The sequence below is a fragment of the Homo sapiens genome, chromosome X (assembly GCF_000001405.40).
Source record: "Homo sapiens chromosome X, GRCh38.p14 Primary Assembly".
In the NCBI taxonomy this organism is placed as follows: Eukaryota; Metazoa; Chordata; class Mammalia; order Primates; family Hominidae; genus Homo; species Homo sapiens.
This window is the reverse complement of record NC_000023.11, coordinates 77,802,820-77,830,000: the sequence shown is the minus strand read 5'-3', so window position 1 is coordinate 77,830,000 and position 27,181 is coordinate 77,802,820. Positions and strand designations below refer to the sequence as shown.

At 41.2% G+C, this 27,181-nt stretch overlaps 1 protein-coding gene across 2 annotated transcripts in view; it reads left to right on the top strand.

The window, feature by feature from the left end:
• The window catches only part of MAGT1 (magnesium transporter 1), a 69,822-nt gene extending 65,568 nt beyond the window's left edge, over positions 1-4,254 (top strand). Inside the window, exon 10 of one of the 2 annotated variants that reach the window (NM_001367916.1) lies at positions 766-4,254. In NM_001367916.1, the coding sequence (NP_001354845.1) occupies positions 766-781 (16 nt within the window). In that variant the 3' untranslated portion in view covers positions 782-4,254. The remainder of the gene's footprint in view (positions 1-765) is intronic. The other variant, NM_032121.5, reaches the window with a different exon arrangement.

Below are 27,181 nucleotides of genomic sequence, written 5' to 3'. Positions count from 1 at the left end.
TTATAGTATAATGGACAATATTAGTATGTGATTTCTCAGGAACATCTTTTAGATTTATTTTGCCATACCTAATTTATTCTAGAAATCTCATATGTATTCTAGAAATACATAATGATTAGAACATTTTATGCCATTATCTATTCACATAGCTCCTTGTCTGCATATTATACTTCCTTTTGAAGAAGAAATGATTTTTTTTAATGTTAAAAACTTCTTCTCGCCTCTACTTTTTTTTAAGAAATAGAGTGCCACTGCACTCCAGTCTGAGTAATAGAGTGAGACCCCATCTCAAAAATAATAATTATAATAATTTATCCTCTACAGAATACTAATTGAGATGTGAAGGTAATTTTGCTGGGACTTCTGTTAATTATTTGATCAGCAGAGTTGATTCAATAGCAGTGTCATGTGCCTGTAGTCCCAGCTACTCAGAAGGCTAAGACAGAATGATCACTTGAGCGTGGGAGTCCCAGACCAGACTGGGCAACACAGTGAGACCCCATCTCTAAAAAAATGAAAAAATAAAATTATTAATTAGTGTCTCTATTCAGGAGATATTTTAACTTGAGGTTATTCTATTTCCTTTTGTCATAAGACTAACGGGTCTCTCAGTGTTTCTCACTTTTTGTTATTGATACCCAAAGATTATCATGTACGTACCAAAATGCTCTTTTATCTGTTAAAACCAACATACTGCTTATTGATTAAAAGTAAATCCTACTTTTCTTTCAGAGACTAATAGATTGGAATATATTTTTGTTTCAGCTTTCTGATGAGTTAAAAAGGTCCCAGAGATATATAGACACTGGAGTACTGGAAATTGAAAAACGAAAATCGTGTGTGTTTGAAAAGAAGAATGCAACTTGTATATTTTGTATTACCTCTTTTTTTCAAGTGATTTAAATAGTTAATCATTTAACCAAAGAAGATGTGTAGTGCCTTAACAAGCAATCCTCTGTCAAAATCTGAGGTATTTGAAAATAATTATCCTCTTAACCTTCTCTTCCCAGTGAACTTTATGGAACATTTAATTTAGTACAATTAAGTATATTATAAAAATTGTAAAACTACTACTTTGTTTTAGTTAGAACAAAGCTCAAAACTACTTTAGTTAACTTGGTCATCTGATTTTATATTGCCTTATCCAAAGATGGGGAAAGTAAGTCCTGACCAGGTGTTCCCACATATGCCTGTTACAGATAACTACATTAGGAATTCATTCTTAGCTTCTTCATCTTTGTGTGGATGTGTATACTTTACGCATCTTTCCTTTTGAGTAGAGAAATTATGTGTGTCATGTGGTCTTCTGAAAATGGAACACCATTCTTCAGAGCACACGTCTAGCCCTCAGCAAGACAGTTGTTTCTCCTCCTCCTTGCATATTTCCTACTGAAATACAGTGCTGTCTATGATTGTTTTTGTTTTGTTGTTTTTTTGAGACGGTCTCGCTGTGTCACACAGGCTGGAGTGCAGTGGCGTGAGCTCGGCTGACTGCAAACTCTGCCTCCCAGGTTTAAGCGATTCTCCTGTCACAGCTTCCCAAGTAGCTGGGATTTACAGGTGTGCACCGCCATGCCAGGCTAATTTTTGTGTTTTTAGTAGAGACAGGGTTTCGCCAAGTTGTCCAGGCTGGTCTTGAACTCCTGGGCTCAAGTGATCCGCCCGCCTCAGTCTCCCAAAGTGCGAGGATGACATGTGTGAGCTACCACACCAGCAATGTCTATGCTTCTCGATAGCTGTGAACATGAAAAGACATCTATTGGGAGTCCGAGGCAGGTGGATTGCTTGAGGCCAGGAGTTAGAGACCAGCCTGGCCAACAAGGCAAAACCCCGTCTCTACTAAAAATATGAAAATTAGCTGGGCTTGGTGGCTCATGCCTATAATCCTAGCTACTTGGGAGGCTGAGGCACGAGACTTGCTTAATACCTGGGAGGCGGAGATTGCAGTGAGCCGAGATCACGCTACTGCGCTCCAGCCTGAGTGATAGAGTGAGACTCTGTCTCAAAAAAAAGTATCTCTAAATACAGGATTATAATTTCTGCTTGAGTATGGTGTTAACTACCTTGTATTTAGAAAGATTTCAGATTCATTCCATCTCCTTAGTTTTCTTTTAAGGTGACCCATCTGTGATAAAAATATAGCTTAGTGCTAAAATCAGTGTAACTTATACATGGCCTAAAATGTTTCTACAAATTAGAGTTTGTCACTTATTCCATTTGTACCTAAGAGAAAAATAGGCTCAGTTAGAAAAGGACTCCCTGGCCAGGCGCAGTGACTTACGCCTGTAATCTCAGCACTTTGGGAGGCCAAGGCAGGCAGATCACGAGGTCAGGAGTTCGAGACCATCCTGGCCAACATGGTGAAACCCCGTCTCTACTAAAAATATAAAAATTAGCTGGGTGTGGTGGCAGGAGCCTGTAATCCCAGCTACACAGGAGGCTGAGGCACGAGAATCACTTGAACTCAGGAGATGGAGGTTTCAGTGAGCCAAGATCACACCACTGCACTCCAGCCTGGCAACAGAGCGAGACTCCATCTCAAAAAAAAAAAAAAAAGTAAGAAAGAAAAGGACTCCCTTAGAATGGGAAAGAAAAATCATAAAATATTGAGCTGATGCCTGTATATAGAAATTAAGCGTTTCTCGAAAGCTGTTCTATGTTTTGCTGTTATTTTAGTCTTTATTCTCTTCCTTTAGGTGGAGAAACAAAGTACCAATTTGAAGGGATTTTTTTTATTTTGTCTTTTGGTTTCTGTCAGTAGAAATAACCATATGTGCTAACCAAATTTCTGTGAAGAATGTTTTCATGGTTATCATTATATCTAACTATAACCTCCCCCATAGTTATGAAGAGTAACCTGAAATGCCACTATTGTGGAAATAGGATAATTGTAATTGTGAAAAAATAATTTTAAGGAAATCTTACAAGTATTACATTAAAAAGATACTATGACTGCCACCTGCCATTTACCTTCTAATAACCCTGCCATGTGGTTTGCAGAAAGAGATGGATATAGTAGCCTCAGAAGAAATATTTTATGTGGGTTTTTTGTTTTTCGTTACTAGATTTCATGGATGAGGGGATATGGTTGACCTTTTACTTTTTAATGGAGCAGCCAGTTTTTGTTAATTACTCACTTGTAAATTGTGAGATTCTGAATTCCTTACCTGCTATTCTTGTACTTGTCTCAGGCCAAATCTATGCTGTGGTTCTTATGAGACTTGTATGAAGATGCCCTGATTTGTACAGATTGACCACGGGAATACTACTGCCATGTAATCTGTATAGTTCCAGATAATTTGTCATGAACATTGACAGAATGACAATTTTTTGTATTTGCTTTTTCTCCCTTTAAGAGCACATTCTTCTGTAAGGAGAAAGGCAGCATTCTGGCTAAAATGTGTAGAAGGTAATTTACTACACTTATAAAATAGTGTGACTTTTGTGAAAATTTTGAATTAGCTTTCATATGAAGTGCCTTAAGTAGACTCTTCATTTACTTTTCTGGTAATGGTTTAAATATCATTTGTTATGCATTTTTAAGATACAGTTCAGAATGACACATTGTAGTGGCAAAGATAACCAAATGTCTGGCTGTTTGCTTTTTGACCATATCAATAAACTTTTACAATCTAAATTCTGAGTTTTTGATTACCATCTAAAGAGGAGTGAGTTTTAAACACTAAACTAGAATTGTAAAATTAGGATTTTACATTTTGAAGTTATAATTAAATTAATTTAAATTTCATATTGTCCTAAGGACAGTTTGATGGGACAGTTTCTTTAAGTATTTCTGGATTGGGATATATTATTCTAGGAATCTATACATGGTCCCTCATTCTTAATGTTGTTACCCATTAGGTGAGTCAAAACAACCAAGATGAGTAGATAAATGACTGTTTGCAACAATTGATCTACCTTTCGTCCCAGACAGTGAACATTCCTTGACTAGGTAATTTCCTTTTGATAATAAAAACTTGATTTGAAAGTTACCCTGGCAGATTATAAGTTATATGAAACTAGACAGCAGCTCTTTTGCAAACATGGAGTAGAAACACTGCACAGGAAGTAAAGAGATCTGGCTTTTAGCCCTTGCTCTGTTTCTGTCTAACTATATGACCATAGGTGTCACCTGAACCTCTCTGAACATATTTCTTTATACTAAGTAAAGTGTATTAGGCTAAATTACCTTAGTAGTCCTTCCTGCTCTATTGTTCTATTATGCAAAATATTAAAGATGCACTTAAATTTGAATAGATAATATTTTTATATCCAGATTTGGTGCTGAATTAAAATCAATTGAAATGGAGGATATTCTGCAGTCAGATTTCTGAAGAAGCTAGGAAATGCTGGTGGAGGCCATTATAACTACAAATTGCTTAATATGCATTGAAATATTTTTTGGAAAGGATGCACTTGGAACTCTATTAGACCGTTATTGCATTGCTCTAAAGAAATACCTGAGATTGGGTACTTTATAAAGAAAAGAGGTTTAATTGGCTCACAGTTCTGCAGGGTGTACAGGAAACATGATGCTGGCATCTGCTCAGCTTTTGGGGAAGCTTCAGGAAACTTACAATCATGGTGGAAGGCAAAGGGGGAGCAAGCACATCACATGGCCAGAGCAGGAGCAAAAAGGTGAGGGGAGTTGGCAGACACTTTTCAATGACCAGATCTCGCGATAACTCACTATCACAAGGACAGTACCAAAGGGATGGTACTAAACCATTCATGAGAAACCTGCCCCCATCCAGTCATTTCCCACCAGGCCCCACCTCCATCATTGGGAATTACAATTGAACGTGAGATTTGGGTGGGGACAAAGATCCAAACCATATCGGAACCCATATGTTAATAAGATTTTTTTTTTTTTGAGACGCAGTCTCGCATTGTCACGCAGGCTGAAGTGCAGTGGGGCAATCTCGGCTCCCTGCAGCCTCCACCTCCCGAGTTCAAGCGATTCTCATGTCTCAGCCTCCCGAGTAGCTTGGACTACAGGCAAACACCACCCCACGCCTGGCTAATTCTTGTATTTTTAGTAGAGACGGTTTCACCATGTTGACAAGCCTGGTCTCAAACTCCTGACCTCGGGTGATCCACCTGTCTCGCCCTCCCAAAATGCTGGGATTACAGGAGTGAGCCACCGCGCCCAACCTCGAGGTCTTGATTTACATGGGTTCTGCCCAATTCTGAGCAAGAATGAGATCAGCAACTGTAATAGTATGCTGTTACAACAGAAAGTCAAAGCCAAAAGGATCTTAGATACCATTTAAATCAGCCCCTTCATTTTGACTGCTGAAGAAACCTGCCATAGAAAAGTGAAGCAATTTACTGAAGTTTATTCCAGGGAAGTACCTACAGGTTTCCTCTTTAGCTGCAAATTCCCTATGGATTACATTTCAAGTGTAGATGCAAATTACTCCCTTGACGCTTGGAAACCATACTGTAGTTCAAGCTTATCCAACCCTCAGCCCATGGGCCGCATGCAACCCAGGATGGCTTTGAATGCAGCCCAACACAAATTCATAAACTTAATTAAAACATTATGAGTTTTTTTCTGATTATTTTTTAGCCCATCAGCTATCATTAGTGTTAGGGTACTTAATGGGTAGCCCAAGACAATTCTTCCAATGTGGCCCAGGGAAGCCAGAAGATTGGACACCCCTGCTGTAGTTTGTGCTCACTAGGTTTGCTTCCTGACATCTAGATTGCCTGGAGAAGAGTCCTAATGAGAGAGAGATTTCCCTAGAGGAGCTGAGCAGACTTCCTAAAGAGGAAGGAGTTTAATCTACCTTTAATCTGTGAATGTAGAATTTAGGTGGGGAGACTGTATATTAGGGTTCTGTAGAGGAACAGAACTAATAGGATAGATGTGTATATGAAGGGGAGTTTAGGCTGGGCACAGTGGCTCACACCTATAATCCCAGCACTTTGGGAGGCCCAAGTGGGTGGATCACTTTGAGGCCAGGAGTTCAACACCAGCCTGGCCAACATGAAACCCTATCTCTACTAAAAATACAAAAATTAGCCGGGCATGGTGGCATGCACCTGTAATCCCAGGATTACAGGAGAGGCTGAGGCAGGAGAAATCGCTTGAACCCGGGGGGCGGAGATTGCAGTGAGCCAAGATTGAGCCATTGCACTCCAGCCTGGGCAGCAGAGCAAGACTCTGTCTCAAAAAAAAAAAAAAAAAAAAGAGTGGGGGAGTTTATTAAGGAATATTGACTCACACAATCAAAAGGCGAAGTCCCACAATAGACCATCTGCAAGCTGAGGAGGAGCAAGGAAGTCAGCCCATGTCCCAAAACCTCAAAAGTGGGGAAGCCAACAGTGCAGCCTTCGGTGTGGCCGAAGGCCCAACAGCTCCTGGCAAACCACTGGTGTAAGTCCAAGAGTCTAAAAGCTGAAGAACTTGGAGTCCAATGTTCCAGGGCAGGAAGCATCCAGCACGGGAGAAAGATGAAGGCCAGAAGACTCAGCAAGTGAAGTCTTTCCACGTTCCGCCTGCATTTATCCTAGCCATGCTGAGAGCAGATTAAATGGTGCCCACCCAGATTGAGGGTGGGTCTACCTCTCCCAGTCCACTGACTCAAATGTTAAATCTCCTTTGGCAACACCCTCACAGACACACTCAGGAACAATACTTTGCATCCTTCAATCCAATCAAGTTGACACTCAGTCATCACAGAGGGAGGTAGCTGGCAAGATGGCCAAATAGGAACAGCTCTGGTCTGCAGCTCCCAGCGAGATCAACGCAGAAGGCAGGTGATTCCTGCATTTCCAACTGAGCCTCCTCTAGTGATACCCAGGCAAGCAGGGTGTGGAGTGGACCTCCAGCAGACTCCAGCAGACCTGCAGCAGAGGGGCCTGACTGTTAGAAGGAAAACTAACAAACAGGAATAGTATCAACATCACCAACATCAAAGACCGAAGGTAGATAAATCCACGAAGATGGAGAGAAACCAGCGCAAAAAGGCTGAAAACTCCAAAAACCAGAACACCTCTTCTCTTCCAAAGGGTCACAACTCCTCACCAGCAAGGGAACAAAACTGGACGGAGAATGAGTTTGATGAATTGACAGAAGTAGGCTTCAGAAGGCAGGTAAAGACAAACTCCTCCGAGCTAAAGGAGCTTCATGTTGTATTTATGTTTAGAGAAGAACATAAATGACCTGATGGCGCTGAAAAACACAGCACAGGAACTTCATGAAGCATACACAAGTATCAATAGCCGAATCGATCAAGTGGAAGAAAGGATATCAGAGATTGAAGATCAACTCAATGAAATAAAGCAGGAAGACAAGATTAGAGAAAAAAAGAGTGAAAAGAAATGAACAAAGCCTCCAAGAAATATGGGACTATGTGAAAAGACCAAATCTACATTTGATTGGTGTACCTGAAAGCGACGGGGAGAATGGAACCAAGTTGGAAAACACTCTTCAAGATATTATCCAGGAGAACTTCCCCAACCTAGCAAGGCAGACCAACATTCAAATTCAGGAAATATAGAGAACACCACAAAGATATTCCTCGAGAAGAGCAACCCCAAGAAACATAATTGTCAGATTCACCAAGGTTGAAATGAAAAAAATGTTAAGGGCAGCCAGAGAGAAAGGTCGGGTTACCCACAAAGGGAAGCCCATCAGACTAACAGTGGATCTCTCAGCAGAAACCCTACAAGCCAGAAGAGAGTGGGGGCCAATATTCAACATTCTTAAAGAAATGGCAAAGACTTGGAACTAACCCAAATGCCCATCAATGATAGACTAGATAAGGAAAATGTGGCACATATACACCATGGAATACTATGCAGCCATAAAAAAGGATCAGTTCATGTCCTTTGCAGGGACATGGATGAAGCTGGAAACCATCATTCTCAGCAAACTAACACAGGAACAGAAAACCAAACACTGCATGTTCTCACTGCTAAGTGGGAGTTGAACAATGAGAACACATGGACACAGGGAGGGGAACATCACACACCGGGGCCTGCTGGGGGGTGAGGGGTTGGGGGAGGGATAGCATTGGGAGAAATACCTAATGTAGATGACGGGTTGATGGGTGCAGCAAACCACCATGGCACATGTATACCTATGTAACAAACCTGCGCGTTCTGCACATGTACCCCAGAACTTAAAGTATAATAATAAAAAAAATCATCACAGAGACAGACTTTTATTTAGAAGAGAGGCAGGAACAATCGCCTAGAGATTACTGTTCAGAAGTTTGTGTTTGTACATCCCTTAAACTCTGTGTTCTCAACTTGGCCTGTGCATAATAAAGGAGTTAATTATGACTGCCTGTCACTAATAATAAGGGAAATGCAAATCAAAACCAGAATGAGATACCACCTCATACCATTAGGATGGCTACTATCAAAAAACCAGTCACCTGTAGTCCTAGCTACTCAGGAGGCTGAGGCAGGAGGATCGCTTGGCCCAGGAGTTTGAGGTTACAGTGAGCTATGATCACGCCACTGCACTCCAGCCTGAGCAACAGAGCAATACCTGTCTCTAAAACAAACAAACAAAAAAAATGTTGGCAAGGATATAAAGAAATTGTAACCCTTGTGTACCGTTGGTGGAAATGTAAATTGGTGTAGCCACCATAGAAAACAGTCTAGAATTGCCTCAAAAAATTAAAAATCAAATTACCATAGAGTCCACCAATTCCACTTTAGGGTATATGTTCAAAGGAATTGAAAGCAGGGACTTGAAAAGATACTTGTACACTCATGTTCATAGTAGCATTATTCACAATAGCCAAAAAGTAGAAGCAACCCAAGTGTCCATCCACGGATGAACAGATAAACAAAATGTGGTATATACCTACAATGGGACATTATTCAGCCTTAAAGAGGAAGAAAGTTCATTCTGCAACATGGAAGAACCTTGAGGACATGATGCTAAGTGAAATAAGCCAGTCACAAAAACAAATACTGTATGATTCCACTTATATTAGGTACCTAGAGTAGTCAAATTCATAGGAACAGAAAGAAGAAAGGTGGTTGCCAGGGGCTGGGGAGAAGGGGGATTGGGGTGTTGTTTAATGGGTATAGAGTTTCAGTTTTGCAAGATGAAAAGAGTTCTAGAAATTGGTTGCACAACAATGTGAATGCACTTAACAATAATGAATATATATTTTAAAATGATTAAGCTGAGCACAGTGGTTTGCATCTTAGTCCCAGCCACTCAGGAGGCTGAGGCAGGAGGATCGTTTGAGCCCAGAAGTTCAAGGCTGCAGTGTGCTATGATCCTGTATGTGTATAGCTGCTGCACTCCAGTCTGGGCAGTGTAGTGAGATCCTCATCTCTTAAAAAATATATAAATAAATAAAAAGAATGGTAAATTTTATGTGTATTTTACTACAATTATTATTTGTTAATACCAGTGCCTGGGCCCCAAACCTGTATTGGTACATCTCCACTGACACCACCTTGTATTTGTTCTTTCATGTGGGTCCTGAAAATATGAATACAGCTGAATAGAGTATGACTCATGGTGGAAAAGTTGAGAGATGGTCTTCAGCCACTTTTGGGTGATAGTTTAAGCACATTCGGCTAAACCTTGCCTACAGCATCAGTGATGATTTGTATTAATATATTCCAATGAGTGCTTCCTAAATAATGACTTCCAGCTGGGAAAATCTCATTAAGATGTGTTGGCTCCATCCGACATCCAGGCTCAGAAATGATCCATTTGGTCTAAACCTTCCAGCTTATCGTGCCTGCTCCTGGCTTTGTGACCAGTAGATGTGTCAGAGGCGTTTCTGAACTCCTACTAAAGGGAATAATTCCTAGATTTGGGCTGCGTAAGAGCTTACAGAGCGATAATGGCCCATCTTTCACAGCGACAGTTACCCAAAACATATCTTCAGCCCTAGGAATTCAGTACCGCCTTCACTCGGCATGGAGACCATAGTCTTAGGGAAAGTAGAAAGTGTTAATCAAACCCTAAAAAGGACTCTTTCTAAACTATGCCAAGAAACATCAGAAACCTGGCTGTCTTTATTACCTACAGCTTTATTACAGGCTAGAATGGCCCCTAAGGGAAATCTGCAGCTCAGCCATTTTGAAATAATGTATGGAAGGCTTTTCGTAACTACTGACTTCCTAATAGATATAGATACTTTCAAGCTACAGAATTGTGTGATCAACTTAGGGCAAGTGCAAAAGGCACACCTTGAATATGGAAATCGAAGACTCCCTTCCCCCACTAAGGAAGAGAATCTTGTTAAAACTCAGCCGGGAGATTGGGTCCTATTATAAACTTGGAAGGAAGGATCCCCAGCAGATCAACTTTCCCCAAAATGGAAGGGACCCTATCAAATTCTCCTTAGTGCCCCAACTGCAGTTAAACTTCTGGGAATAAGCAGCTGAGTTCACCTATCTTGAATTAAACCTGTCTCTTATGAAGTCCCATAGGCCGACAGAACACAAGAGACTGATTCTGTTTATTCCTGTGAGCCAATCAGTGACCTCCGACTACTGTTCAGAAGATATGAAAGGGATGGGTAACATAAAGATATGGATTGGCATTCTACTTTTGGGTTTAAGTTGGAATCATGGAGCGAGTAACTTATTTACTGAGTGGGCACAGACTTTGTCTTCTCTATATAATCAAACTATTGGGTATGTGGACATTTTAACAGCAGCCCAAGGGGGACTTTATGCTTTGATCAAAACCAAATGTGTGTATGTTCCAGACTATTCACATAATATTACCCAGGCTGTGAAAGCTTTAGACACTCATATCTGCCATTGATGTAATGTCAGTCGACCCTATATCGGCTTGGTTCCAACAACTGCTCAGTTCTTGGACAGCCTTCCTGTTTAGTTTACTTGGAATGATTTTACTTATTTTGCTTTGCTGTTGTGGAATATATTGCGGTTGTATTCTTTATGTAGGAATGCAAGATAAGCTCATTCAATGCTTTCTTAAATTGGACACGTATTAATCTTCCAGATATCACCTTTTGTCAGAACTTGGAGTTATGAATGACCTTCACCATACCAATGCTCTCTGACTGAGCTTCGCTCTACCCTAAATGCAAGAGACCCTAACATTTAAGCAGGAATATCATTGCCCCTATTCAGCCTGAAGTTACAGAATATGGATCTTGGTCCTTCTGCAACCCTTAGGATTAAGGGTCCTCTTGTAAAGGGAGGGGGGAGATATGTCAGAGGTGTTTGAACCAGAGCGACTCCATTTTGAATGAGGGCTAGGAAAATGAGGCTGGGGCTTGCTGGGTTGCATTCCCAGAAACTCAGGCATTCCTAGCCTCTAGATGTTTAAGGTTAAGGGAACAAATTAGTAATGTTTACTAAGCACTCCCAGACTTGGGAGTTTCCAGATATCCCGATATCTGGAGAACAAAGGCATTCCTAATTTTGCTTTAAAGATAATAATATTGATTCTTGCAAAATACAGTAATTAAGTCCGGGCGCAGTGGCTCACGCCTGTAATCCCAGCACTTTGTGAGGCCTAGGTGGGCGGATCACCTGAGGTCAGGAGTTTGAGACCAGCCTGGCCAACAAGGCGAAATCCTGTCTCTACTAAAAATACAAAAATTAGCTGGATGTGGTGGTGGGTGCCTGTAATCCCAGCTACTCAGGAGGCTGAGACAATAGAATCACTTGGACCTGGGAGGCGGAAGTTGCAGTGAACTAAGATTGCGCCACTACACTCCAGCCTAGACAACAGAGCAAGACTCCAACTCACTCTCACTCTCTCTCTCTCTCTATATATATATATACACACACACACATATACATACATATATACACACACATATATATACACATATATACACACACACATATATATACACACATATATATAAAGAAAATTAATCCTTTATCACAAACCCTTGTAGCAGAACACATCTCCCCATATATACAAGCATTGTACCTAGCATGGACACGTTCCTCCTCTTACTTTCAGGAGCACCCTACTCTGTCTATGTAGTAGTTGTACTTTCACCACTTTACTTTCTTAATAAACTTGCTTTTACTTTGCACTGCGGACTCACCCAGAATTCTTTCTTGAGCAAAATCCAAGAACACTCTCTTGGGGTCTGGATTGGGACCCCTTTCCTGTAACAGATGCAGCTACAGAATTTAGGGTCTGAAGGGTTTTTTTTTTTTTAATGTTTTTCAAACAAAATTAATGAAATGCTTTCTCCCCCTTCAAACATACCTTAAACATAACTTCTGGGCAGCTTTCCTGACTTCCCAGTTTGGGTTCTATATCCTCCCTCTGTTCTTCAGTACATGTTCATCTTTGTTACTCCATCTTGTAATGGTCCCGTCTCCCACTTGAGAAGAGGGGCACTGTCTTACTCATCTTTAGATGCTCACTTTCTAACATGCCTGCATAGTACATGTTCAGTAAATTTTCTTTTCTTTTCTTTTCTTTTCTTTTTTTTTTTTTTTTTTTGAGATAGAGTCTTGCTCTATTTCCCAGGCTGGAGTGCAGTGGCACAGTCTCGACTCACTGCAACCTCCATTTCCCAGATTCAAGTGATTCTCCTGCCTCAGCCTCCCGAGTAGCTGGGATTACAGGTGCCCACCACCACGCCCGGCTAATTTTTTGTATTTTTAGTAGAGATGGGGTTTCACCATGTTGGCCAGGCTGGTCTCAAACTCCTGACCCCGTGGCCCGCCCACCTCGGCCTCTCAAGTTGCTGGGATTACAGGCATGAGCCACCGTGCCCAGCCCATGTTCAGTAAATTTTCACTGATTGAATGAAGACGAAAAAATAGATATTTACTCTCAGTTTCTTTCTGTCTGGTGGTAGAGACAAATGTAAACAAATGCAATATTCTGCACTAGTGGAAAAATATGTGTTATAATATGGATACAGAGAAGGTTGTGATCACTTTCTTGAGGTAGGAGGGGAAGGGAGAAGGCTTCAGTGACCGTAGAATGAATTTTTAAAGGATGATTAGTTCACAAGTTAGATTTTTTTAAGTGCTAAACTGCCAAGATACATTTTTTTATTGATATAGTATCATTTCAATACTTAAAAATCTTAAGTCTGAGTCATTTATATCCTGAGTCATACTCAAAGAGTTACATGGTACTTGAAAATTTATTTTTTTTTCTTTTTCTTTTTTTTTTTTTTTTTTTGAGATGGAGTCTCACTCTGTCACCCAGGCTGGAGTGCAGTGGCACAATATCCGCTCACCACAACTTCCACCTCCTGGGTTCAAGCGATTCTCGTGCCTCGGCCTCCCAAGCAGCTGGGATTACAGGCACACACCACCACGCCTGGCTAATTTTTGTATTTTTGTAGAGACGGGGTTTCACCATGTTGGCCAGGCTGGTCTCAAATGCCTGACCTCAAGTGATCCACCTCAGCTTCCCAAAGTGCTGGGATTACAGGCGTGAGCCACCGCGCCCGGCCTATATCTTCCGGAATATACATCATATCATGAAATTTATGCTCTTTTTATGAAATCCATACTCTTATAAATTCAGCATCCAACTGTTAAATGCATCCAGTCTGAGAAAGAGTTGTCTATGCTAGACATCTCATGAAATCTTCATCTTGGTATTATTGTCTCCACTGCACAAATGAAGAAACAACTCAAGTGCTGGGTAAATTTCCCAAGGTTACACAGCAAGACAACTGGATTTGAACCCAAATCTGACACCACATCATGCAGTTCCAAATTAAATGAAGTTGAGACTAGAGCTTAAATTATCTGAATTTTAGTCCAAAGGATTGGAGATGAATCCATTTCTTCACTATTTCCTTTCTCCAAAACTAAAAAACATCAGATGCAAATGGAACTCTTACTGAAGTTAAATGGCAATCTCTAAATGATGAATAATCTCTAAATAAATAATAAATAAATAAAATAACCTCTAAATCAAAAAATATTCTTTGAGCCAGGCATAGTGGCTCACAACTATAATCCCAGTGCTTTGGGAGGCCAAGGCAGAAGGATCACTTGAGGCCATGAGTTTGAGACCAGCCTGGGCAACATAGGAAGACAGTCTCTACAAAAAATAAAAATAAGAAAATTAGCTGGGCATGGTGGCATGTGCCTATAGTCTCAGCTACTTGAGAGTCTGAAGGTGGGAGGATCACTTGAGCCCAGGAGTTCGAGACTGCAGTGAGCTATGATTGTACTACTGCAGTCCATTCTGGACAACAGAGCAAGAGCCTGTCTCAAAAAGAAAAAAGAAAAAGAAAATTGAAGAGTAAGGAGCTCCAAGGGCCTGTTCTTGCATAGAAATATGAAAAAATGAGCAAAGATGGTCAGAATCAACTTTGTCAGTCTCTAGAAAATAGTCAAAGATTCAAACAAATGCTGAATCAAGAAAATGATGACTTAAGTGCAGTAGGAAAGCTTTGTGGTATTTTCCCTTAGCCTCACCCCCACCAACTTTAGTGTGGCAGGAGTCTGAAAGATGGCAGTCTGTGTTCTCAGTGTGAGTACCTGGTCCCAGAGAGGGCAGAGCAGACCTTGTTCTCAGAAAATTGTGTTTATCTGTTTGATTCGTCTGCAGAGGGGATAAGAGTGAAGGAATGACACAAGAGGATTGCCTTAGTTTTGACTAACTCAGAACTCTCAGGGCATAAAAGCAGCTATGCACAGTGTATTCCTTGAAAACATTGAAAGGCAAATAAACAAGCTGCTGCTGCTTGGGGCAAAACATTGCATTTGGGTCAATAAATAGACATGTCAAAAGTCTGGGAGGAAGGCCAGACGTGGTGGCTCACCCCTGTAATCCCAGCACTTTGGAAGTTCAAGGGCAGATCACTTGAGGTGAGGAGTTCAAGACCAGCCTAGACAACATGGTGAAACCCCCGTCTCTACTAAAAATACAAAAATTAGCCGGGCGTGGTGGTGCGTGGCTGTAATCCCAGTTACTTAGGAGGCTGAGGCAGGAGAATCGCTTGAACCTGGGAGGCAGAGGTTGCAGTGAGCCTAGATCGCGCCATTGCACTCTAGCCTGGGGGACAAGAGGGAAACTCCGTCTCAAAAAAAAAAAAGTCTGGGAGGAAAAGGTGAGAAGAGAGTTACTTTGGGGAGCCTTGAGGAACAAGCTTCATATACCCAGCAAGATGACACATGCTCAGAAAAGACTTGAGTGGTCTCTAAGCTTTCAGCTCCAGCTGATCTTTATGCTCAGTGCAAGCAGTAAGTGAAGTCTAAAAGTTTGTAAACTGACTGGATAAGCGTTGAAGGTGTGCACCAACACAGGGCTAATCTACAAAATGTTTGTAGGTGTTTTTTTTTTTGTCTCCAGATGTTTAAGGAAATTTCTGGTAAATTGCTAGCTCACCACTAAGCTCGTGGGACAGAGACTTCAGTGTCCATGACAAAGAATATAGTCTTCCCAAAAATAGTTTAGAAACATCACTAAGCAAAAACTACAACCCACAATGAGCAGCAACAAAGAACCCTGAGGAATGAGGAGAATCTAATTTCCAGAGTTGCCGCATTATAATATTCAAATTTTCCAGTTTTGAACAAAAAATTTATGAGACATGTAAAGAAACAAGAAAGTTTGGCCCCTTCACAGGGGAAAAGATGAACAGAAACTATACCTCAGGAAGCCCACACACTGGACTTACTAGAAATAGACATTACATCATATATTTAAACTATGTTTAGAGAGCTAAAGAAAACCATGTCCAATAAACTAAATAAAATACAAGTAAACAATGTCTCACCAAATACAGAATATCAATAGAGAGATGGATGTAAAAAACAACCACACAGAAATTCTTGAGCTGAAAAATACAATAATAAAAAAATCCTTAGAGGGTTTCTAAAGCATATTTGAGAAAGCAGAAGAAAGAAATAGCAAACAAGAATGATCTTTTGTATTTCTTTGTTCACAAACTAGAAAATCTAGAGGAGATGGATAAATTCCTAGAAATATATAACCTTCCTAGATTAAATCATGAAGAAGTAGAAACTCTGAGCAGACCAATAACAAGTAGTGAGATTGAAACAGTAATTTAAAAATTGCCAACAAAGGCCAGGCGAGGTGGCTCACACCTGTAATCCCAGCACTTTGGGAGGCCAAGATGGGCGGATCACGAGGTCAGGAGATCGAGACCATCCTGGCTAACACGGTGAAACCCCGTCTCTACTAAAAATACAAAAAATTAGCTGGGCGTGGTGGCGGGCACCTGTAGTCCCAGCTACTCAGTAGGCTGAGGCAGGAGAATGGCGTGAACCTGGGGGAGGCGGAGCTGAGCAGAGATCATGCCACTGCACTCCAGCCTGGGTGACAGAGCAAGACTCCATCTCAAAAAAAAAAAAAAAAAAAAAAATGCCAACAAAAAAAGTCCAGGACCAGATGGAGTCACAGCTGAATTCTATCAGACATTCAAAGAATTGCTACCAGTCCTACTGAAACTATTTCAAAAGATAGAGAAAGAGGGAATCTTCCCTAACTCATTCTATGAAGCCAGTATCACCCAATACCAAAACCAGGAAAGGACATAACAAAAAAAGAAAACTACAGAAGAATATCCCTGATGAAAATAGATGCGAAAATCCACAACAAAATACTAGCTAATTGAATCCAACAGCATATCAAAAAGATAATACATCGGCTGGGCACAGTGGCTCACGCCTATAATCCTGGCACTTTGGGAGGCCCAGGCGGGCAGATCACGAGGTCAGGAGATTGAGACCAGCCTGGCTAACACAGTGAAACCCCGTCTCTATTACAAATACAAAAAAAAAAAAAAAATACACACACAAAAAAATTTAGCTAGGCGTGGAGGCATGCGCCTGTAATCCTAGCTACTTTGGAGGCTGAGGCAAGAGAATCGCTTGAACCCAGGAGCCAGAGGTTGCAGTGAGCCAAGATCGCACTACTGCACTCCAGCCTGGGCGACAGAGTGAGACTCAGTCTCAAAAAAAAAAAAAAAAAAAAAAAGCTTAGGCTGGGCACGGTGGCTCCCACCTGTAATCCCAGCACTTTAGGACGCCAAGGCGGATGGATCACCTGAAGTCAAGAGTTTGAAACCAGCATGGCCAACATGGTGAAACTCTGTCTCTACTAAAAATACAAAAATTAGGCCTGGCGCGGTGGCTCATGCCTGTAATCCCAGCACTTTGGGATGCCGAGGCAGATAGATCACAAGGTCAGGAGATTCGAGACCATCCTGGCTAACACGGTGAAACCCCATCTCTACTAAAAAAAATACGAAAAAAATTAGCCAGGCGTGGTGACGGGTGCCTGTAGTCCCAGCTACTAGGGAGGCTGAGGCAGGAGAATGGTGTGAACCCGGGAGGCAGAGCTTGCAGTGAGCCGAGATCAGGCCACTGCACTCCAGCCTGGGCCACAGAGCGAGACTCTGTCTCAAAAAAACAAACAAACAAACACACACACACACACAAAAAAGACAAAAATAATTAGCAGGGAGTGCTGGTGCATGCCTGTAATCCCAGCTACTCAGGAGGCTGAAGCAGGAGAATCACCTGAACCCATGAGGCAAATGTTGCAGTGAGCTGAGGTCGTGCCACTGCACTCCAGCACAGGCAACAGAGTAAGACTCCATCTCAAAAAAAAAAAAAAATCATAAGATCATGTCAATAGATGCAGCAAAAGCATTTGACAAAATTCAACATCACTTTATGATAAAAACCCTCAGCAAAATTGGCATAGAAGGGCCATACCTCAAGGTAGTAAAAGCCATCTATGACAAACATACTTCCAATACCATACTGAACAGGGAAAAGTTTAAAGCATTCCCCCTGAGAACTGGAACAAGGCAAAGATGACCACTGTAGCCACTTCTACTAGTATGGAAGTCCTGGCCAGAGTGATCAGACAAGAGAAAGAAATAAAGGGCATCCAAATAGATAAAGAGGAAGTCAAACTCGCTGTTTGACAATGATAAAATTGTATACCTAGAAAACCGTAAAGACTCATCCAAAAAGCTCCTAGATCTGGTAAGTGAATTCAGTAAAGTTTCAGGACACAAAATCAATATATGCAAATCAGTAGCACTGCTGTACACCAATGATGACCAAGCTGAGAATCAAATAAAGAACTCAACCCCTTTGACAATAGCTCCAAATAAAAATACTTAGGAATATACTACCTAGGAATACAGCTTACAAGGGATGTGAAGGACCTCTTCAAGGAGAACTACAAACCACTGCTCAATGAAATAAAAGAGGATACAAACAAATGGAAGAACATTCCATGCTCATGGGTAGGAAGAATCAATATCATGAAAATGGCCATACTGCCCAAGGTAATTTATAGATTCAATGCCATCCCCATCAAGCTACCAATGACTTTCTTCACAGAATTGGAAAAAACTACTTTAAAGTTCATATGGAACCAAAAAAGACCCCGCATCACCAAGTCAATCCTAAGCCAAAAGAACAAAGCTGGAGGCGTCACGCTACCTGACTTCAAACTATACTACAAGGCTACAGTAACCAAAATAGCATGGTACTGGTACCAAAACAGAGATATAGAACAATGGAACAGAACCGAGGCCTCAGAAATAACACCACATATCTACAACCATCTGATCTTTGACAAATCTGACAAAAACAAGCGATGGGGAAAGGATTCCCTATTTAATAAATGGTGCTGGGAAAACTGGCTAGCCATATGTAGAAAGCTGAAACTGGATCCCTTCCTTACACGTTATACAAAAATTAATTGAAGATGGATTAAAGACTTAAATGTTAGACCTAAAACCATAAAAACCCCAGAAGAAAACCTAGGCATTACCATTCAGGACATAGGCATGGGCAAGGACTTCATGTCTAAAACACCAAAAGCAATGGCAACAGAAGCCAAAATTGACAAATGGGATCTAATTAAACTAAAGACCTTCTGCACAGCAAAAGAAACCACCATCAGAGTGAACAGGCAACCTACAGAATGGGAGAAAATTTTTGCAACCTACTCATCTGACAAAGGGCTAATATCCAGAATCTACAATGAACTCAAACAAATTTACAAGAAAAAAAAAACAACCCCATCAACAAGTGGACGAAGAATATGAACAGACACTTCTCAAAAGAAGACATTTATGCAGCCAAAAAACACATGAAAAAATGCTCATCATCACTGGCCATCAGAGAAATGCAAATCAAAACCACAATGAGATACCATCTCATGCCAGTTAGAATGGTGATCATTAAAAAGTCAGGAAACAACAGGTGCTGGAGAGGATGTGGAGAAATAGGAACACTTTTACACTGTTGGTGGGACTGTAAACTAGTTCAACCATTGTGGAAGTCGGTGTGGCGATTCCTCAGGGATCTAGAACTAGAAATACCATTTGACCCAGCCATCCCATTACTGGGTATATACCCAAAGGATTATAAATCATGCTGCTATAATGACACATGCACACGTATGTTTATTGCGGCACTATTCACAATAGCAAAGACTTGGAACCAACCCAAATGTCCAACAATGATAGACTGGATTAAGAAAATGTGGCACATATACACCATGGAATACTATGCAGCCATAAAAAATGATGAGTTCATGTCCTTTGTAGGGAGATGGATGAAGCTGGAAACCATCATTCTCAGCAAACTATCGCAAGGACAAAAAACCAAACACCGCATGTTCTCACTCATAGGTGGGAATTGAACAATGAGAACACATGGACACAGGAAGGGGAACATCACACACCGGGGACCGTTGTGGGGTGGGGGGAGTGGGGAGGGATAGCTTTAGGAGATATACCTAATGCTAAATGACGAGTTAATGGGTGCAGCACACCAGCATGGCACATGTATGCATATGTAACATACCTGCACGTTGTGCATATGTACCCTAAAACTTAAAGTATAATAATTAAAAAAATACTTAGGAATATACTTAACAAAGGAGGCAAAAGATCTCTACAAGGAAAACTACAATACACTGCTGACAAAACAAGATGACACAAACAAATGGAAACACATCCCATGCTCACGAATGAGTAGAACAAATATAGTGAAAATGGCCAATATTTTGAAATAATTGCCAAAAGCAATCTACATATTCAATGCAATTTCCATCAAAATTCCATCATCATTCTTCACAGAATTTTTTAAAAAACCCTAAAATTCATATGGAACTAAAAAAAGAGCCCACATAGCCAAAGCAATACCAAATAAAAAGAACAAATCTGGAGGCATCACATTACCTGACTTCAAACCATACTACGAGGCTATAGTTACCAAAACAGCATGGCAATGGTATAAAAATAGGCATGTATGCCAGGCGTGGTGGCTCACACATGTAATCCCAGCACTTTGGGAAGCTGAGGCAGGCAGATCATTTGAGGTCAGGAGTTTGAGACCAACCTGACCAACATGATGAAACCCCCTCTCTACTAAAATACAAAACTTAGCCGGGCATGGTGGCAGGTGCCTCTAATCTCAGCTACTTGGGAGGCTGAGGCAGGAGAATCGCTTGAAACCAGGAGGCAGAAGTTGCAGTGAGCCACGATCTCACCATTGCACTCCAGCCTGGACGACAGAGTGAGACTCCACCAAAAAAAAATAAAAAAGGCATGTAGGCCAATGGAACAGAATAGAGAGCCCAGAAATAAAGCCAAATGCTTATAGCCAACTTATTTTTGACAAAGCAAACAAAAACATAAAGTGGGGAAAGGACACCCTATTCAACAAATGGTGCTGGGATAATTGGCAAGCCACATGCAGAAGAATGAAACTGGATCCTCATCTTTCATCTTATACAAAAATCAACTCAAGATAGATCAAAAATTTAAATATAAGACCTGAAACCATAAAAATTCTAGAAGATAACATCAGAAAAACTCTTCTAGACATTGGCTTAGACAAATAATTCATGACCAAGAACTCAAAAGCAAATGTGACAAAAACAAAAGTAAATAGATGGGACCTAAAAAGCTTCTGCACAGCAAAACAAACAATCAGCAGAGTAAACAGACAACCCAGAGTGGAAGAAAATATTCACAAAGGCCCAATATCTAGAATCTACAAGGAATTCAAATCAGCAAGAAAAAAAACCAATAATCCCGTCAAAAAGTGGGCCAAGGACATGAATAGAGAATTCCCAAAAGAAGATATACAAATGGCCAACAAACACATGAAAAAATGGTCAACATCACTAATTATCAGGGAAATGCAAATTCAAGCCACAATGAGATACCACCTTACTCCTGCAAGAATGGCCATAATTGAAAAGTCAGAAAACAATAGATGTTGGCATGGATGTGGTGAAAGGGAACACTTTTACACTGCTGGTGGGAATGTAAACTAGTACAACCAGTACGGAAAACAGTATGGAGATTCCTTAAAGAACTAAAAGCAGAATTACCATTCTATCCGCAATCCCACTACTGCGTATCTACCCAAAGGAAAAGAAGTCATTATATGGAAAAGACACTTGCACGCACGTTTATAGCAGCACAATTCACAACTACAAAAATATGGAACCAGACTAATGCACATTGACCAATGAGTGGATAAAGGAAATGTGATATATATACACCATGGAATACTACTTAGCCATAAAAAGGAATGAAATAACAGCATTCTGGCTGGGCACAGTGGCTTATGCCTGTAATCTCAACACTTTGGGAGGCCAAGAGGGCAGATCGCTTGAGCTCAGGAGTTTGAGACCAGCCCGGACAACATGGCAAAACCCCATCGCTAATAAAAATACAAAAATTAGCTGGGCATGGTGGTGCATGCCTGTAATCCCAGCTACTTGAGGGGCTGAGGTGGGAGAATTGCTTGAGCCTAGGAGGTCGAGGCTGCAGTGAGCAGAGATGCTGCCACTGCACTCCAGCCAGGGTGACAAAGTGAGACCCTGTCTCAGAAAAAAAGGAAAGAAGAAAGAAAAAGAAAGAAAGAGCTGGGCACGATGGCTCACGCCTGTAATCCCAGCACTTTGGGAGGCTGAGGCGGGTGGATACCTGAGGTCAGGAGTTGGAGATGAGCCTGACCAACATGGAGAAACCCCGTCTCTACTAAAAATAGAAAAAAATTAGCTGGGCGTGGTGGCACATGCCTGTAATCCCAGCTAGTTGGGAGGCTGAGGCAGGAGAATTGCTTGAACCTGGGAGGCAGAGGTTGCAGTGAGGTGAGATCGCGCCATCGCACTCCAGCCTGGGTGACAAGAGCGAAACTCCGTCTCAAAAAAAAAGGAAAAGAAAAAGAAAGAAAGAAAGAAAGAAGGAAAGAAGGAAGGAAGGGAGGGAGGGAGGAAGGAAGGAGAAAGAAAGAAAGAGAGAAAGAGAAAGAAAGAGAGAAAGAAAAAGAAAGAGAAAGAAAAAGAAAGAAAAAGAAAGAAAGAAAGAAAGAAAGAAGAAAGAAAGAAAGGCAGGCAGAAGGGCATCCACAGCAACCTGGATGGAGTTGGAAACCATTATTCTGAGGTAAGTAACTAAGGAATGGAAAACCAAATATTGTATGTTCTCACTTATAAGTGGAAGCTAAGCTAGGAGGATGCAAAGGCATAAGACTGATATAATAGACTTTGGGGACTCAGAGGAAAGGATGGGAGAGGGATGGGGGTAAAAGACTACACATTGGGTACAGTGTACACTGCTCAGATGATGGGTGCACGAAAGTCTCAGAAATCACCACTAAAGAACTTATCCATGTAACCAAAAACCACCTATTCTCACAAAACTATTAAAAAACAAAATAAATAAAAAATAAAAAGAAATAACAAACATGAATACGTCAATTGACATTATCCAGTCTAATCCCTTATCTCTCACCACACACAAAAATCAACTAAAAATGCATTCACTTTTTTTTCTTCAAGACAGAGTCTTGCTCTGTCAACCAGGCTGGAGTGCCATGGCGAGATCACAGCTCATTGCAACTTTGAACTCCTAGGCTCAAGGGATCCTCCTGCCTCAGCCTCCAGAATAGCTGGGACTACAAATGCATGCCACCACACCTAGCTACTTCACTATGTTGCCCAGGCTGGTCTCAAAGTCCTGGCCTCATGTGATCCTCGTGTCTCAGCCTCCCAAAGTGCTAGGATTACAGGTGTGAGCCACTGCGCCCGGCCGAGAAAAGGGAACTCTTATTTACTGTTGGTGGGAATGTAAATTAATGCAGCCAATATGAAAAACAGTATAGAGATTGTTCAAAAAACTAAAAATAGGCTGGGTGTGGTGGCTCACACCTATAATTCCAGCACTTTGGGAGGTCAAGGTGGGTGGATCACTTGAGGCCAGGAATTTGAGACCAGCCTGGGCAACATGACAAAACCTCATCTCTACAAAAAATACAAAAATTAGCTGGGTATGGTGGCACACACCTATAGTACCAGCTACTTGGGAGGCTGAGGCAGGAAGATTGCTTAAGCCTGGGAGGCAAAGGTTGCAGTGAGCAGAGATCATGCCATTGCACTCTAGCCTGGGCGAAAGAGTGAGACTGTCTCAAAATTAAAAAAATCTAAAAATAGAACTACCATTCTAGGCTAGGCGCAGTGGCTCACACCTGTAATCCCAGCAAATCAGGAGGCTGAGGAGGGTGGATCACTTGAGGCCAGTTTGAGACCTGCCTGGTCAACATGGTGAAACCCCATCTGTACTAAAAATACAAAAAAATTAGCCAGGCATGGTGACCCATGCCTGTAATCCGAGTTACCTGGGAGGCTGAGGCATGAGAATCACTTAAACCAAGGAGGCGAAGGTTGCATTGAGCTGAGATTGCGCCACTGCACTCCAGCCTGGGTGACAGAGCGAGACTCTGTCTCAAAAAAAAAAAAATAAATAAAAACACACACACACAAAAAAGCACTACCATTCAATTCAGCAATTCCACTATTGGGTATCTACCCAAAGGAAAATAAATCTATACATCGGCCGGGTGCCGTGGCTCACGCCTGTAATCCCAGCACTTTGGGAGGCCGAGGCGGGTGGATAACCTGAGGTCGGGAGTTCGAGACCAGCCTGACCAACATGGAGAAACCCCATCTCTACTAAAAATACAAAATTAGCCAGGCATGGTGGCGCATGCCTGTAATCCCAGCTACTCGAAAGGCTGAGGCAGGAGAATCACTTGAACCTGGGAGGCAGACGTTGCCATGAGCCGAGATCGAGCCACTGCACTGCAGCCTGGGCAACAAGAGCAAAACTTTGTCTCAAAAAAAAAAAAAAAGAAAAAAGAAAAAGAGAAAAAGAAAATAAATCTATATATCAAAAAGATACCCACAATCATATGTTTATCACAGCACTATTCACAGTAGCAAAGATATGGAATCAACCTAAGTGTCCATCAACAGATGATTGGATAAAGAAAATGTGGGGTATACGTGCACAATAGAATGCTATTCAGCCATAAAATAAATGAAATCACCGGGCACGGTGGCTCATGCCTGTAATCCTAGCACTTTGGGAGGCCGAAGCAGGTGGATCATCTGAGCTCAGGAATTTGAGACCAGCCTGAGTAACACGGTGAAAGCCCATCTCTACTAAAATACAAAAAATTAGCCAGGTGTGGCATGCGCCTGTAGTCCCAGCTACTCAGGAGTCTGAGGCAGAAGGATCGCTTGAACCCGGGTGGCGGAGGTTGCAGTGAGCCACCTGGTGACAGAGAGATACTCCATCTCCGAAAAAAAAAAAAAAAAAAAAAGAATAAAATCATGTCCTTTACAGCAACATGAATGGAACTGGAGGTCATTATCTTACATGAGACAAGCCAGGCACAGAAAGACATTTATTGCATGTTCTCACTCATAAGTGGGTCCTAAAAAATGTGTTCACATGGATGTAGAAGGTGGAAAAATAGGAAATGGGGACTGACGCTGGGCACAATGGCTCATGCCTGTAATCCCGGCACTTTGGGAGGCCGAGATGGGTGGATCACTTGAGGTAAAGAGTTCAAGACCAGCCTGGCCAACATGGTGAAACAGCGTCTCTACTAAAAGTACAAAAATTAGCCAGGCATGGTGGCACACACCTGTAATCCCAGCTACTCGGGAGGCTGAGGCATGCTTGAACCCAGGAGGCAGAAGTTGCAGTGAGCTGAGATCGTGCCTCTGCACTCCAGCCTGGGAGACAGAATGAGACTCTGTCTGAAAAAAAAGAAAAAAAAGAAAAAGAAAAAAGAAAATAGAGACTCAGAAGAGTGAGAGGGTAGAAGGAGGGAGGAGGATGAGAAATTACTTAATTACTTAATGGGAACTATGTATGTTATTCAGGTGATGGATACACTAAAAGCCCTGGCTTCACTACTACATAACCTATGCAAGTAACACAATTACACGTGTATCAAATAAGTTTATACATATGAAAAAGAAGAAAGAAATTATTCAGTCTGAGAAGCAAAATAAAAAAGAATGAAGAAAAGTGAACAGAACCTAAGAGACCTATGGGAAACCATGAAGCATACAATATACATGTAATGAGAGTCCCAGAAGGAGAGAAAAGAAAAGGCAGAAAATATATATAAATAAATAAAGTGGCTCAAATGTCATAAAAGATGTGAATATCGACATCTAAGAAGCTCAACAAACTCCAAGTAAAATAAGCACAAAGAGGTCCACACCAAGCCACGTTACAATCAAACTGTTGGAAGCCAGAGAAACAGAGAGAAAGACAGACAGAGAGAGAATCTTGAAAGTAGCAATAGAGAAGTGATTAATCATTCACAAGGGACCTTCTATAAAATTAACAGCCAATTTCTCGTTACAAATCACGAACGTTAGAAAGCAGTGGAATGACATATTTCATGTGTTGAAAGAAAAAGTCAATCAAGAATTCCATATTTGGCACAACAATCCTTCAAAAATGAAGGAAAAAATAAGACATTGCCAGATAAACAAAAGTTGAGTTTGTTTCAGGTAGCCTTGCCCTACAAGAAATGCTAAAGTGAATCCTTCATGCCTAAACAAAAAGTACACTACACTGTAGCTTGAAACCATGTGAAGAAATAAAGAACGCTAGTAAATGTAACTACATAGGTAAATATAAAAGCAAATATTGGCCTGTCGCAGTGGCTTATGCCTGTAATCCCAACACTTTGGGAAGCCGAGGCAGGTGGATCACCTGAGGTTGGGAGTTCGTAGAACAGCCTGACCAACATGGAGAAACCCTGTCTCTACTAAAAGTACAAAATTAGCTGGGCGTGGTGGTGCATGCCTGTAATCTCAGCTACTCAGGAGGCTGAGGCAGGAGAATGTCTTGAACCCGGGAGGCGGAGGTTGCAGTGAGCCGAGATCATACCATTGCACTCCAGCCTGGGCAACAAGAGCAAAACTCTGTCTCAAAAAAAAAAAAAAAAGCAAATATTATTACATTTTTGTTTTGTAACTACTCTTTAATTTCTTATATAATTTTATAGACATACATAAAACAATAATCATAAATCTATATTCATGGGCTTCCAATGCATAAAGACATAAGTCCTGACAATAACAATATAAAGGGGGAAGGACAGAGCTGCATAGGATCAGAGTTTGTATATACTACTGAAGTTACACTGCTATCAATTCAAACTAGACTGTTACAAATTTAACATGTTTATGGTAATTGCCAGGATAACCATGAAAAAAATAATTTAAAAGTATACAGAAAGACATTTATTGCACGTTTGCAGAAAAGGAAATAAGAAGGAAACCAAAATGGCACATTACAAAAGAATTACTTAAACACAAAAGTGGGCAGTAATAGAGGAAATGAAGAACGAAGTACACATAAGGCACATAGTAAACAGGCTGGGCATGGTGGCTCACACCTGTAATCCCAGCACTTTAGGATACCAAGGCGGACAGATCACTTGAGGTCAGGAGTTCAAGACCAGCCTGGCCAACACGGTGAAACTCCACCTCTACTAATAATACACAAATTAGCTGGGCGTGGTGGTGTGAGCCTGTAATCCTAGCTACTCAGGAGGCTGAGGCACAGGAATCGCTTGAACCTGGGAGGCTGAGTTTGCAGTGAGACGAGATCGCAACACTGCATTCAAGCCTTGGCAACAGAGTGAAACTGTGTCTCAAAACAATAAAAAGGACATATAGTAAACAAATAGCAAAATGGCAGAAGTCAGCCATTCCTTAACAGTCATTACTTTTAATGTGAATGAATTAAACTTCCCAATTAAAAGGCAGAGAATAATAAAATAGATTTAAAAAGCAAAACCACAATCAAACCATATGCTGTCAACAAGAGACTCACTTTTGATGGAGAGACACAAGTAGATTGAAAATGAAAGAATAAAAAAAATT